Below are 12,651 nucleotides of genomic sequence, written 5' to 3' on the forward strand. Positions count from 1 at the left end.
TAAACAACTGGGAAATGTTAAATGAAAAAGTATCACAGCTGAGACAAAGCTCCTCAGCCTCAGCATGTTTGTCAGTGTGCCCAACTGATGTAGTTTGGCTCTGTGCCCCCATCCAATTCTCATCTTGAATTGTAATCCTTATAATCTCCACATGTCAAGGGAGGGACGTGGTGGGAGGTGATTGGATCATGGGGGACATTTCCCTCATGCTGTTCTCATGATAGTGAGTGAGTTGTCATGAGTTTTGATGGTTTCATGTGTTTGACAGTTCCTCCTTCACACACTCTCTCTCTTCTGCCACCTTATGAAGAAGGTGCCTGCTTCCCCTTCACATTCCATCATGATTCTAAGTTTCCTGAGCTCCCCCCCAGCCATGTGGAACTGTGAGCCAACTGAACTTCTTTCCTTTATAAATTACCCAGTCTCAGGCATTTATAATAGTGTGTAGGCTGGGCATGGGGGCTCACGCCTGTAATCCCAGCACTTTGGGAGGCCAAGGCGGGTTGATCACAAGGTCAGGAGATTGAGACCATCCTGGCTAATATGGTAAAACCCCGTCTCTACTAAGAATACAAAAAAATTAGCCGGGCGTGGTGGCGGGCGCCTGTAGTCCCAGCTACTGGGAAGACTGAGGGAGGAAAATGGCGTGAACCCGGGAGGCAGAGCTTGCAATGAGCTGAGATCGGGCCACTGCACTCCAGCCTGGGTGACAGAGCGAGACTCCACTTAAAAAAAAAAATAGTGTGTAAACGGACGAATAAACCATCTATCACTTTTCACACAAACTTTCCTACCTGTACTTTGTATCCAAACCTTTGCCTTTTTAATCTCCTGAAAGAATAAGGAATTGTTGTTTCCAATAGAGTGGCTTCTTCATACAATTTTTATGATTAAAACTGATATTCTACAGTTGGTTATTGATAGCCCCATACCTTTCTGTCTAAGGCAAAGGATGAACACATGGATGCATATCCATATGTAAGTGCCCAATGAGTTCACCTTGCCCATTGCCTAGACAGAGCCCATTTATCAAGACAGGGGAATTGCAATGGAGAAAGAGTAATTCACACAGAGCAGGCTGTGTGGGAGATGGGGAGTTTTATCGTTACTCAAATCAGTCTCCCTGAGCATGCACGGATCAGAGTTTTTAAAGATAATTTGGCAGGTAGGGGCTTGGGAAGTGGAGAGTGCTGATTGGTCAGGTTGGAGATGGAATCACAGGGGGTCGAAGTTAGGTTTTCTTAATGTTTTCTGTTCCTGGGTGCAATAGCAGAACTCCTTGGGCCAAATTACCGGTCTAGGTGGTGTCAGCTGATCCATCAAGTGTAAGGTCTGCAAAATATCTCAAGCACTGATCTTAGGTTTTACAATAGTGATGTTATCCCCAGGAGAAATTTGGGGATGTTCAGACTGTTGGAGCCAGAGGCTGCAAGACCCCTAAATTGTAATTTCTACTCTTGTAGCTAATTTGTTAGTCCTGCAAAGGCAGACTGGACCCCAGGCAAGAAGGGGGTCTTTTCGGGAAAGGGCTGTTATCAGTTTTGTTCAGAATCAAACCATGAACTGAATTCCTTCCCAAAGTTAATTCAGCCTACACTCAGGAATGAACAAGGACAGTTTAAGGATTACAAGCAAGATGGAGTCGGTTAGGTGTGATCTCTCTCACTGTCATAATTTCCTCAGTTATAATTTTGCAATGGCGGCTTCACATACACAAACATACACACAATGTCAAGAAAAAACAATACAGAAAGAAAAGCTCACCTCAACAGGCCCAAATTTCAGTAACATAAAACTCATATTATCTAACAGAATAAATATAAAAATTCATGTAACATTTCTTACATTATAGGGCAACATTTGAAACTGGAAGATGTTTTAGAGACTATCTTGACCACCCCTTGAATTTTCTTGTTGAGGAACTTGAAGTTTAGAGGGGAAAAATGTTTTCAAAAGAGTCGGGATAATGTTAGCCTGTGTCAGCACTAACATCTGACTAACAAGTCAGATTGCTGACACTGGCCCATGCTCACACCTTAATAATAATGACAATTTAATGACAATGGGACTAATTACTAATAAATTTGAGTATTTTCTATGTGCTAGGCACTTCACATGCATTAGCTCATTTATATTTTCCAAATCTCTTGTGAGTTAGATTTTATTAGCATACCTACTTTAAAGGTGAAGGAACTGCAGCTCAGAAAGTTAAACTTCACTAAGGCTGCATGTTTAGTTGATGGCAAAGCTGAGTTTAGAAGCCAAACTGACCGTAAAATCTGGGTTCTTAACGACTATGCAGTATATAAACACCCTTTTCATGTATAAACATGAAAAGATGCTAATGCCTACACAACACAACCACAAACACATACACACACTTACAGAAATCACTAAAAATAGGAGATTCTTGGCTACTTTTTTTCTAATTTTTAGTAAAGTGTTATTTTAATTTAGTTCCCTTAGGACATTTTTATGACCTTTTAATTCTTGTCTCCTTAAGCTTTTACCGACATCTAAGAAAGAATACCATTTCACTGGCTGGAACCACTATCTTTTTAATTAGTACAGGTGGCAAACCAGATTACGATGCTAGTTAGCAACAACAGCTACATTATCTTTACATTAGTGCACTTTCATTGCAGTTTAGCTCTTTTAAAATCTCAGAATTGCTGTCTCAGTTAATATTTTTTATCTAAGCAGTCACGACAGTTATCAAATCCATCTCACTAGATTAAAACTTTGCAAGTTTTATAATTGATACATTACTATAAATAGGAAAATCAAATGCTTTAGGGGTAGATCCTGAAAGACAAAAAAATTTTCTAGAAAGCACAATTTCTGATCCTGAAGAAAAATGTATATCTTACTGTTTTTCTATATTTATGTCTTCTAAGCCATGTTTGTTGGAATAGAAAGGAAACTACTATGAGACAGAGGCTTTGTATAATCATTTCTTTTCATTCTTCCAACAGTGTTACCAGGTAAGTATTATTACCCACATTTGCCAGGTAGTTTGTGGGAAATAGAGGCTCAGAGAGAATAAGTAAGTTGCCAACTTAGTAAATGGTGAATCTAGATTTGAATCCAGATTTTCTCTGACCTAAATGCTCATTTCACTCTAACACACTACAGCCAGGAGAGAACCCACTTCAGTATGAGTGTTACAGTTCATGTCTGTTCAGAGTGCATATTAGTGGCTGTAGCTTTCATTGAATCTGTATAAATCCCATTCCCCAATATCAGTCTCCAAAGAAATATCTGAACTCCAGAAATCCTAACAAGTGGTAGAGGTGGGGAGGAGGTGCAGGAGGTCATGAGTAGAATGCCAAAAAGCCTTTAATCTAAGGCAATTTCACATATAAGCTTCAGACAAAGCTAAAAGCATCTCTAATCTTAAAGGCACTTACAAAAGGTCATTTTAAAGTTGTCAGTTTCCTGTTTGTGAGGTCCTCAGAAATAAGAATTCATCAGTGGTGACCATGACAACAAACCTTCTTCCCATCAAAGCCTCCCCACACCTCTGCTCAGCGATTAGCCGAGTAGAAAGGAGATACGGACTTACCATATTTCTAAAGATCAGTCTTTCAGACTAGCTTTGGTTTGAAATTTTAAGGACTATATGAATTTCTAATTATAGACTTTTTAAGTAAATCATTGTTAAGGCTTAACAGGCACAAATTACTCACATCTTTATGACAAAGGAATTCCAAGTAACAAATCATTTTTAAGTCATCATAAAGCTAAGTGTATTCAAAATTACATTTGCTTAAGGAAAACAATTTAATTCAAGCGAGGTATTTTGACATGGAGATTTTTGTCCTTTGGATATGTACATCTGTAATTACAAATATTTAAATAAGCTTTCATGACCATTATGTCCATCTCCTAAAACCATGAAAAGGACACTCATGAAGGGAAACATGTCTTGCTCACAGTAGAAAGTACAGGAGAAACTGCTTGTTCCTCCTTGATTCCAGTTATTTGCCTGAGCCTTCTTAGCTATCTATATCTATGTCCTCAGCCTCCACCCACCAGCTCAATTTGGAATGAGATCACTGAAAGGTTCATCTTCACTTTGAAGTGGAGCCCATACCAACTGCCATATGAGTCCCCAGGCCCACGTGTCCACATTTCTCCTAAGCACCATCTTTCAACTCTGGGCTCTTTTTAATCTCTTGAAGAGCAATTTAAAAAATACATATTAGCTGTTGAAATATATATTTGTCATAACAATTCTATTTTATAGATTTCTCCTAAGAAAATATTCGGTGATGACTATATTCAAAGATGTAATTACAAGGATGCTCCTCTGTGGGTTATTTTTAATTTCCAACAATAAGTGATGGTTTAATCATTCAAAATGAGTTTGTTTAATCATTCAAAATGAGGTTGTAGATGTCCATGGCATAATGTCATTGAAAACCACAGTTTAAAAGAGTATACTTGATCCCATCTTTGTGAACGTACACAGCTATACACGAGCACACACAGGCACACACACAACATATCAACAATGTACATCATGGGAATATAGATGTATTCCATATTTTTCTTTTTTTCATATGTAGTTTTTATTGTTTTCTATGATAAATTTTGTAATAAACAATGATTCATTTTTAATGTTTTTAGTTCTGTATAAAAGATGAAAGAAAGAGCATAGAAACAAGAATAAAAATGAGATGAATGAAACATTTCACCTCCTCCAGGCCATTCTCAAATGCCACCTAACTGATGCCGTCTGTTTAAAATTACAACCTCCACCCTTGACAAGTCTACTCCTTACTTTATTTATCTCCATAGCACTTTCTGCCATCTATTATATCATATATTTTAATTGTTTACTTTGGTTTTGTCTGTTCTCATACAATGTCAGCTCCTTGAGGGCAAGAACTTTGTTCCAGAGAAGTGACTATCCCTACACATTTGATGCGAAAGAGAGAGAGAGAGAGAGAAGAGAGAAAGAAGGAAGAAAGAAAGAAAGAAAGAAAGAAAGAAAGAAAGAAAGAAAGAAAGAAAGAAAGAAAGAAAAAGAGAGAGAAGGAAGGAAGGAAGGAAGGAAGGATCTGTTGACTATGACTATAAAGGAATAGCTCAGGCCAGTACCAAATATCAAGAATGTTAGACTCACTAATGATCAAGGCTTATAAAAATGTTTAGAACAACATAAAAGAAGTAACAAGGAGAGTTAAACTATATTCTGAGCAAGAAGATGAAAATGTGATAGACCACTGATTAAAACAATACAGGGTTAGATACAAAAAAAATAATAGTTCTCCCCCTTACTACTTTGCTTTTCTCTACTTTAAAGCATGACAGTCTGTGAAAAAAGGCTGAACTAGTGCTGCCGTAAGGACACTGAAGTGAGAAGGATATAAAAGACCTCTTAGTTGCTTTACGTGAGATACAGCCTAGGTGACCCTATCACCGCTTCTAGGAGGACTTTCATCTGCTGTAGACACCTACAACACGCTATGCTGTCTTGGTGTAAAATCACAATTTATTGTAATTAATTACCACTCAGAAGGTAAAACCTTTGAGCATAAGCATTATATTCTATTCATTGTTGATGTCTCAGTGCCTATCCTAGCACAAAGTCCTCAGTAAATACATGTTTTATTAATTACTTAACTACAAATCAGGGTACTGAGAAAACTTGTAAATTAAATTATTGATCCATGCTAACTTTTTTTTTTTTTTTTTTTTGAGACACAGTCTCACTCTGTCGCCCAGGCTGGAGTGCAGTGGCACGATCTCGGCTCACTGCAAGTTCCACCTCCCAGGTTCACTCCATTCTCCTGCCTCAGCCTCCAGAGCAGCTGGGACTACAGGAGCCTGCCACCACGCCCGGCTAATTTTTTTGTATTTTTTAGTAGAGACGGAGTTTCACCGTGTTAGCCAGGATGGTCTCAATCTCCTGACCTTGTGATCCACCCGCCTCGGCCTCCCAAAGTGCTGGGATTACAGGCGTGAGCCACCGCACCCAGCTATGCTAACAAAACTTTAAAACTCACATAGAATTAGACAAGTAACAAAAGATAGAGAGTAGACAATTATCCGATTTTACAAAAGTAGAACAAATATTTAGCAAATCATTCACTGATATTTTATTGTTGATCTCAGGCCAAATTCTATACTGAATAATTAAACAGAGACTTTGTAAGTCCTTCAGAAAATAAGCTGTGATCAATAGGTACTGTCACAGGTTCACTCAGGAATATTTTTGCCCCATCAGCCAGATTTTCTTCTTGACTAGGGTTAGTAGATATTTTACAGAACCATCAGAAACTTTTGATTTCTGCAAAAGCATTGAACAACAGCTCACATAATATCTATGTTTACAGTGTCTTGTACATAACAGATGCTTGATAAAAGTAGATTGGGCAAGTGCTTATAAAGATTATTAGTGGAATCATTTCCACTCAACATTTTTCATGATGTTTTTTCTTTCTTTTATTGATCCATGCTTTTCCTCTACTCTGGGGTATTTACTTTTTCTCACCTTCCAGATCTGCCAATCTTTTCTTGAAAAAGTTATCCCAGGTGTCTCATATAACTCTATTTAATTACAGGATTTAAGAATTTATTTATATAAACGACTGGAAAACATGGAAGCTTGATTTCACCTATCAATTTTGCTTTGGGAAGACAGACGGGTCAAGGGAAAGTGATGAAACAGGTGCTAGAGGTCACTGATGGATCTGAATTTTCTTGTATTTTCTCTGACGTTCCTTCAGGCTCAAACTTTACTTGCTTTCCCATTGCCCTTTTGCTATCCTGGTATATGCATAAAAAGAATATCAATGTGATAGATGTGTTACTCTAAGATGTTGAGGGTTGAATGCTCTATCACTATGACATCATTCTATTAAAGGAGAAGGTAGTGGATAATTTTTTATTTATATGTGGTAACTGCCATATAAAGGCATTAGACACCAAGGTGCAGTCACACAAACTTGAATTTACTTCCTCCAACTCTCTGATACATATGGATGCTCTGAGTACAGGTATGCATGCACACACATACACACATACAGCTTTCACACTTACAAAATGATGCAGAAAACCCTGCATGAATTTTCTTTCCCTTGGATATGCATGCTCATGTAGAAAAGCACTTGACTGGGAGTTAAGAGGCCTGAATTCTTATCTTGTCTCTACCATTAGCAAATTATATAATTGTGAGTGAGTCATTTTCCTCCCTGAACTTTAGTTTTCTCATAAAATAAATGAGGTTTGGTAGAGGAAATTAAGTGTTTACAAAGTTGTTGGAAGGGCTGAAGGAAAAGACTCCTGGCCAGTGTCTCGCAATGTCTCTAAAACAACACAGAACTGGCCCCCTAAGGAAAGTTCTACCCCTGAGGCCACCATGGCTGGCCTAGGTCTGGAGCTATCCATTCACCGAGAAGCAGCCTATGAACACTGCCAAGCTGGCAAATGGACACCCGAATCAGCAATCCAGAGATTAGCATCAGGTTAAGAAATGGCCACTACACCCACTAATTATTGGCATCTAGAAGACTGAAAAATGAACACTAAAATCTGCTGTTCACTAAAATCACATCCTTGCTGGCTAGCACTGACAATCAGGACAACAGGCAAGAGGCTTCTTCCTCTATTTTTCCTTTAAATCCCATGCAAGTGCATCTCATCAGTAAAATTTGTGTCACATTCAGATCCTTCGTTGCATGGAAATCTTGATAATATAGTTTTTAGCACTTTCTAGCCTCTGTGATACAGATGAGAATATAGAACAGATTAAGACTGGATGCTAAATGCTGAAAAATAATGTTTAGAAGTAATATGTTCTGAAAATAGAAAAAGCTGCTTCAGGATCTAGAGAGTTCCCATCAATGGAGATGGACAAAGCAGAAACCAGATAATCTATTTTCAGAAATGTTGTAAATGAGACTGATTTTGAATAGTAATTTGCAGTTCTTGTTGCATATTTCAGTCCTCTGATGCTATTCCCAAAGATTCTTTTTCAGTGGGCCTGTGGTAGGTCCCAGGAATCTGTAATGTTACAATTCCCCCAAGTGATTGTGAGATATAGCTGTACTTAAAGAACCACTTGACTATAATGTCAAACATCATCTCCAGCCCTGTTTATTTATGACTCCTCAATTCTAGATCTTTAGGACCATGCAACTGTATGTGCCACACACATTCCTAGTACAAGGAGCCAAATGTTGTCTTCAGTCGAACACAGATTTTTTAAGAAACTCTAGGGTATAAACTGGTCTATTATTCTGTTTATTATATTATTTTTAAAAGGAATCTGTTTACCAACTATTCTGCAGTAACAAAAAATAGCTCCAAGGAGATTCTAACTGAAGGCATGCTTTCACATGAAGAATTTATGACTACAGTGTCCTGAGGTAATTTATTTTTTCCTGTGGAGGATTTCCAGGCCGATACAATAAGACAAGAATGCTGAACACCTGCTATATAAAAGACATTTTAAGGTTTTGTTTATGAACTTAGTTCATGTTGAAGATGTCTGCAGATTTATCTCCTGCACGAGTATCAAATCCAATGCTCTTGTATGCTTGCCCTTGAAGGGTTGGTAAATGTTTGGCCGAATAGAACATCATTTATAAACAGGTTTTATTACTGGACTTACAGTTGGTCAGTTACCCCAAATGATTATTCTATACAATTTACATCTAAAGTCCAGATTTGTTACACTAGGAGGAATGTCAGGATTTATGTTGGGATTGCAGGTCTTGGTACAGAAGACGTAGCTTGAAGGTCCCTGTTATGTAACAGAGAGATTTCCATTTTAGCAGGAAAACATGCAGTTGATCTGCTATTAGGAACTGAGGATCTTAAGGGAACCCACAAATAGAAAATCTGGCTTTGGTCAATAGCATGCTTATACTTTGGGAGGGGTATTGAGAGAGATAGGCCTATAACTGCCTTTTTGCAACTATATTTACTTTAATTTTCTTCATCATATATCCACCCAAGGCCAGTTTTATATTCTGAGGGTAAAATACATTTCAGATTTTTTAAAAAGCCATGGTTCATTAGTGCTTGGTGCTTGACAGTATAAGGTTGTATACTCTATACACATAAAATAAAATTATAAGAATTAACTATACAAATGTATGGCAGAAACCACATCTAACTCTGCATCCGGCTACTGACAGTTTTCTTTTTTGTTCCAGTTTCTTTAGGCTACAGTCATATCCTAATGATGACTGTCTTATTGCCCTATTTTTTTTTAGAATTTTTCAAAATATATGAACCAAATGTAATACTATGTCATATCAAATTTTAGATCAAAATTATTAGGATGCCAAGTAAATAAAAGAGGAGGAAAAGAGTTTATCCAATATGGTGAGCAGAGTAATAGCCCTGAAATATGCCCATACCCTAATTCCAGGAACATGTGAATGAGTATATCTCACATGGCAAATGAAATGTGAAGATGTGATTAAGGGTATGGATGTGCAATGGGGAATTACCCTAAATTATACAGTGGTCCCAATCTCTTCACATGAGTCCTTAAAATCCATAACCTTTCCCAGCTGCCTTGGTTAGAAATATACTATATTGGAAGTGCTCAATCTGCCATTGCTAGCTTTGAAGATAAAGGAAAGGAGCCACAATCCAAGAAACGCAGGCCTTTCCCTAGAAAATGTAAAAGGCAAGGAAATGGATTATTCTTTAGAAACTCCAAAAAGGACGTCCTGCCAACATCTTGATTTTAGCTGACAGAGGCGTGTGTTGGATTTCTGCCCTACAGAACTGCATAGTAATGCATTTGTATTGTTAAGCCACTAAGTTTGTAGTAACTTGTTTCAACAGCCATAAAAAACTAATAGATTCAAAACCTTTTATCTCCATGATTGTTCCTGGTCTCATCAGAGCAGCAGAGGCTAATAACTTCCCAATAATAGTCAATAAAGTAATTTCACATTTTAAAGGAAGTTTAGCTATAGAGGAAGGACATAGAGTTTGAAGTTGAAGACAAGACTCAATGAACAAGTAGCAATGTGACCTTGAGAAAAACCTCAAGTTTTCTGAGGCTTAATTTCATCTAAGCCTTGCTTACCTTGCAGAATAGTTGAACATGTCATATTTATAAGGGGATATAAAATCCTTTGTATATTATAGGTTAAGTATCCCTAATCCAAACATACAAAATCTAAAATGTTCCAAAATCCAGAACATGTTCAGCGCTGACATGATGTCACAAGCAGAAGATTCCACACCTGACCTCATGTGATGAATTGCCATCAGAATGTAGCCAAAACTTTGTTTCATGCACAAAGTTACTTAAAACACTGTATAAAATTCTCTTCAGGCTATGTGTATAAGGTGTATATGAAATATGAATGAACTTTGTGGTTAGGCTTGGGTTCCATTCCCAAGATATCTCATTACATATATGTAACTATTCCAAAATCTAGAAGAATCTGAAATCTAAAATGCTTCTGGTTCCAATCATTTCAGACAAGGGATACTCAACCTCTATTCTCTATAAACAATCATATTGCCCATTAATTTTTTCTCCAACAAAATATGTATTTAAGTTAAAGACTGGCCAAATTTTTAATTTAGGATCTTCAAGGTGGAAAATATCCCTCCAGTGATTAGGAAAGACACAAGAAGACAATAAAGATTTTATCACTCACACATCTTGGGTGGGGAGTGTGGTACACAGCACACCTGAAGACTACACATACACAGGTTAAGCAGAACAGGCAGGGAGAAATAGGAACTGTGGGCCAAAGCCTTTGTTGAGGCTAGGCCATTATCCAAACAGGGGAGTTTTAATTGGTGGGTTTAAAGCAAGTAGGCATGAGTTCCAAGAGGTCACGCTGGGACAGAGAGGTAGTCACTATGGCATAACTGCACAGCTTTAGGGATGTGGAAGTCAGAAGGTTACTCAAGTAGGTTTATCTAGCTGTCCCAGAAAGAAGTAGTCATCAGAAAGTGATAAGGCAGATATCTGGATTGGCCACATAGAGGAAATGGGAAGAGGTGTAGAACTGAAAACTGTGTGTCAATGGTGACTGAACCCTGCTTTTGGTATGGAGAAGTTCAACTTATATTTAAAATGGATGCCAGGACAACATAAAATTATAAAAACGTATTACACAAACTGATGGCAGACATTATTCATTGTCTCCCAAATGTTCTTTCTTCTTTTCTGCTCTTATAGAAAAATCACCCAAGTTTTATCTTAAAACATGGCAATCCAGCCACAGACTCCATCTTCCAGGGTCATTTGCAGCCAGGGATTATTAAGTTCTAACCAATGGGACATGAGTGGCAACTGAAGTGTGCAAATCCCAGATGATGGCTTCAAGAAGATGTTACTTTCTACTTCTTCTTGTCCTGTTCCCACAGGCTAGAGTGGCTGTAGTGGCAGAGTCAGCCCTCTCTAAGGGAGATCACTGGGCTGGGGCAGGGCTAGCAATGACACCTATTCATTTACTTATTGTCTATAGCAAAATCAGCATTGAGTTATTGGGACAAAAATCATATGACCTGCCAAGACTAAGATATTTACTCTTAGCCCTTTACAAATAAAGTTTATTTGTACCTCCCTTAGGCAACTGGAGATCAAGAAAAGAAATAAAATCTGGGTCTCTGGACAACCTCCTGGAGCAGAGATATTCTTCCCTGCTAACTACCTACCAGCTTGGACTTTCAAGTGAGCTAGAGATAAACTTTATACATTGTTTATTCATCTATTACATTGGGCATTATAAAATAGAAACATTAATAGAAACAATGATGATGATAACAGCTAGCGCTTTTATGGTGCTTATTATGTTATAGGGCTCTCCTATGGGTATGTAAGATTTGTACACACACAAATTTAATTCCCTGATAACTCTATGAGGTAAGTACTATTTTTTATTCCCACTTGGCAGATGACAAAACTGAGGCCAAGCAATTAAGTAACTTTTCCAAAGGCATACCAAATAGGAGATAGAGCCAGGGTTTGGACCCTAGCCATTTGGCACCTACATCTCTGCCCTTAACCATATATTATATTGCCTCTTAGTAGACTACATGTTTTATTTTGACTCTGAACAAATTAGTCAACACTCCTCAAATTCATTTTACCAGGAGACCTATTAGAAACAATAGCTTAACCCCAAAATATTGACAGATGGTGGGTTCGAGTTAGAAAAATAAATAGCAATTTATTTTAATATCCTTTTTAGTTTATATCTCATCTTCAGACTTTTTATCTTCAGACTCCAATTGCCTAAATTCAATATTTTAATTAAGCATAGCAATAGTCCTAGTTAAATTAGGGCAATAGAGAACCTATTTGGAAATGAAAACAAAGGGAAAATAAGATAAATGTTCAAAGAAATGAAATGAAGCCCGAGATTTCATGAGAAAAGGCAGGGTGTGGGAAGGGGAGCTAATGAATGTATAACCTAAAATCAAGTACTTAATATGCTATAGAAACTAGGCAGAATGCTTCACCTCCATAGCTACCTGCAAGACATTCTTAAAGTTAGAATCCAAAGTTCAGGAAAATTGAGCTAGTTGCTCAGGGTCACAGAACTAGTCAATGAAACTCAAGTCTTTGTTACCTCAAGACAAGCTCCTTTACACTAGAATACCTCAAAGAGAACAAACAAAAACCAATTACACCCCTGCCCCCCGCCAAAAATA

At 37.7% G+C, this 12,651-nt stretch overlaps 1 long non-coding RNA gene across 1 annotated transcript in view; it reads right to left on the reverse strand.

The window, feature by feature from the left end:
* The window catches only part of LINC02653 (long intergenic non-protein coding RNA 2653), a 138,285-nt gene extending 128,151 nt beyond the window's left edge, over window positions 1-10,134 (reverse strand). The window contains exon 1 of the long non-coding RNA NR_110657.1: window positions 10,061-10,134. This is a non-coding gene — a long non-coding RNA (long intergenic non-protein coding RNA 2653). The remainder of the gene's footprint in view (window positions 1-10,060) is intronic.
* Between the last annotated feature and the right edge of the window lie 2,517 nt (window positions 10,135-12,651).

The sequence above is a fragment of the Homo sapiens genome, chromosome 10 (assembly GCF_000001405.40).
Source record: "Homo sapiens chromosome 10, GRCh38.p14 Primary Assembly".
Classification (NCBI taxonomy): Eukaryota; Metazoa; Chordata; class Mammalia; order Primates; family Hominidae; genus Homo; species Homo sapiens.